The sequence below is a fragment of the Homo sapiens genome, chromosome 10, assembly GCF_000001405.40.
Source record: "Homo sapiens chromosome 10, GRCh38.p14 Primary Assembly".
NCBI classification, from domain to species: Eukaryota; Metazoa; Chordata; class Mammalia; order Primates; family Hominidae; genus Homo; species Homo sapiens.
The window spans coordinates 86628384-86631867 of record NC_000010.11 but is presented as its reverse complement, the minus strand read 5'-3'; the positions used below and the strand labels follow the sequence as shown (position 1 = coordinate 86631867).

At 41.4% G+C, this 3484-nt stretch overlaps 1 pseudogene; it reads left to right on the top strand.

Moving 5' to 3' along the window:
- Nucleotides 240-1103, top strand: RPL7AP8 (ribosomal protein L7a pseudogene 8; annotated as a pseudogene).

The window sequence follows — 3484 nt, the reverse complement described above, 5'->3', positions numbered from 1 at the left end:
AGTTCCAAAGCACCGTACTGTATCCAGGTTCTCAAAATAACCTTTCATCTAATGCAGTATGAACATAAGCACAAACAGTGTCTGTAACCTGAGAAGTTAATTGTAAATGTGATCTTCAGGGTTAAATACATGCAAACCCTGGAGAAATTTTAGGGAAAAAAAAAAAAAAAAAAAGAACAAGCAGAGGCCCGTGTCTTTCCAGACACAAATAAATAAGTACCATAAAATTATTGTAATAGTCTCTCCTCCTGCCGCCCAAGATGCCGAAAGGAAAGAAGGCCAAAGGGAAGAAGGTGGCTCCGGCCCCTGCTGTCGTGAAGAAGCAGGAGGCCAAGAAAGTGGTGAATCCCCCGTTTGAGAAAAGGCCTAAGAATTTTGTCATTGGACGGGACATCCAGCCCAAAAGAGACCTCACCCGCTTTGTGAAATGGCCCCGCTACATCAGGTTGCAGAGGCAGAGAGCCATCCTCTGTAAGCAGCTGAAAGTGCCTTCTGCGATTAACCAGTTCACCCAGGCCCTGGACCACCAAACATCTACTCACAAGTACAGACCAGAGACAAAGCAAGAGAAGAAGCAGAGGCTGTTGGCCCTGGCTGAGAAGAAAGCTGCTGGCAAAGGGGACGTCCCCACTAAGAAACCATCTGTCTTTCAAGCAGGAGTTAATACCGTCACCACCTTGGTGGAGAACAAGAAAGCCCAGCCGATGGTGATTGCACAAGACATGGATCCCATTGAGGTGGTTGTCTTCTTGCCTGCCCTGTGTCGTAAAATGGGGGTCCCTTACTCCATTATCAAGGGGAAGGCAAGACTGGGCCATCTAGTCCACAGGAAGACCTGCACCACTGTCGCCTTCACACAGGTTAACTCGGAAGGCAAAGGCGCTTTGGCTAAGCTGGTGGAAACTATCAGGACCAATTACAACGACAGATACGATGAGATCCGCCATCACTGGGGCGGCAATGTCCTGGGTCCCAAGTCTGTGGTTCGCATCGCCAAGCTCAAAAAGGCAAAGGCTAAAGAATTTGCCATTAAACTGGGTTAAATATACACTGTTGAGTTTTCTGTACATAAAAATAATTAAAATAATACAAATTTTCCTTCAAGAAAATTACTGTAATAAAACATTGTGAGACTAGCAGAAGGATAAATAAACAGATTAAGGGAACAGAACGAACAGACATCAGAAACAAATCAGCACATCTAGTCACCTAAATATGATAGAGCTACACTTTTAAACTGTGAATAAAGGATTGATTATTCAATAAATGTTAAACATTTAAAGAACTGATTTTGATCAGTAACTGAGGTTACCCCCAAGACTCTGCGGTGCTGGGGGTCTGGAGTGGTGTAGGTGGGAGTGGGGTGAGGTGTGGATACAACTCCAGCAGAAAGAGGCCAACAGGCTGGGATGAAGAATCAGGCCAGAATCAGGGCTTCCAGAGCAGCTGAAATTGAGGAGGTGGGGAGGAATTCCAGAAAGAAGAGACCAACAGAGGGAGAACCCCCAAATCTGTATATAACTCGTCTCGAATTCTTGGCTGACTCCTAAGCTGCACCAGTACAGGGCAAGACTCCAAGGAATCCAGAGGAAAGCAAGCACTGACAAGAGGTTTCAACAGCTGCCCAGTGCTAGAGAAACAGTGCAGAGCTCAGATCCCATCAAGTAATATTAACTTCTTGTTTGTCATACACAATCACAAATATTTTTTCCTGGCTTGTCATTTAAATTTTAACTCTGCTTATTGCATTTTTTCCCATAAACAAGATTTACAGTTTTATGCATACAAACTTGTCAATATTTTTCAGTGTGGCTTTGTTTTGCTGAAATGCTTGGGCAGTCTATGAAATTATGAAAATAGACTCTATAATTTCTTGATTGGTAGGTTTGGTTTTGTTTATATTATTGTTTTTGTTATTTTGTTATGGCTGATTTTTTAAAACTATTAAATCTTTGCTCTAAGTTAATATCCGAGATTTTGGCGAAAGTGATATCTCTTATAAAAATAGATCAGAATCAGCTCTTTAAGTGTTTAACAACATTTATTGAATGATCAATTCACATTAGATGATCTTGGGAGGTGGACGTGGGGGTAAGGAACATGGTTATCAAAGGAGGCAAAGTTTCAGTTAGACAGGTGGAAGCAGTTCAAGAGATCTATTTACAATGTGGAGACTATAGTTAGTCACAAAGTACAGTATTATATTCTTGAAAATCACTAAGAGAATAGATTCTAGGTGTTCTCACCAAAAAAAGATGATAAGTATATGAGGTAATATAAAAGTTTATTAGCTCAATTTAGCCATTTTACAATGTATACATATTTCTTTTATTTTCTTTCATCTCCTACAGAAAGGATCTGTACATATTCCAAATATCATGTTATACATGATAAATACATATAATTTTTGTCAATTTTTAATATTTATTTATTTTGAGACAGTGTCTTGCTCTGTTACCCAGGCTAGAGTGCAGAGGTGTGATCATAGCTCACTGCAACCTCCACCTCCCAGGCTCAAGTGATCCTCCTGCCTCAGCCTCACAAGTAGCTGGGACTATAAGTGTGTACTACCACGCCCAGCTAATTTTTTTTTTTTTTTTGAGACAGAGTCTTGCTCTGTTGCCCAGGCTGGAGTGCAGTGGCATGATCTCGGCTCACTGCAACCTTTGCCTCCCGGGTTCAAGCGATTTTTCTGCCTCAGTCTCCCAAGCAGCTGGAACTACAGGTGTGCCCCACCATGCCCAGCTAATTTTTGTATTTTTAGTAGAAACAGTGTTTCACTATATATGGGCCAGGCTGGTCTTGAACTCCTGACCTCATGATCCATCCGCCTCGGCCTCCCAAAATGCTGGGATTACAGGCGTGAGCCACCACACCTGGCCACGCCCAGCTAATTTTTATATATTTTTTTGTAGAGATGAGGTTTCATCATGTTGCCCAGGCTGGTCTCGAACTCCTGGCTCCAAGCAATCCACCCACCTCAGCTTCCCAAAGGGCTGGGATTATAGGCATGAGCCACTGTGCCTGGCAAAAAAACTTAATTACTTTTTAAAAAGGAAAAACTTGGTAAACACTTTGGCTTTCCATTAAAACCCCAGAAAGGACACACCTAAGAGTAACGGCTACTTCCAGGACTAAGGACTATGCCTGAGTACTAAAGGCAAAATTGAAATAGACCTGCCCTGAAAAGTCTAAAATCAAGTTTCCGCAGGATCAAAATGATGTGCTTGTGATTAAACTTCCTCCAAGAACAAAAAAAATTCTCAAGCGGAAGATGGAAGAATTCAAAGTCTCTAAAATGTATCAACCACATATTTAGAAGGCAATAAAAACTTGCCAGCAATGATAAAAAGCAGAAAAATGTGACCTACAATATAGAGGGAGATTGTCACTAGAAGCAGACCAACAAATGACACAAGTGTTGAAATTGGCCCACAAGAATTTTAAAGTATTATAAATATATTAAAGAATGTATGGGAAAAGA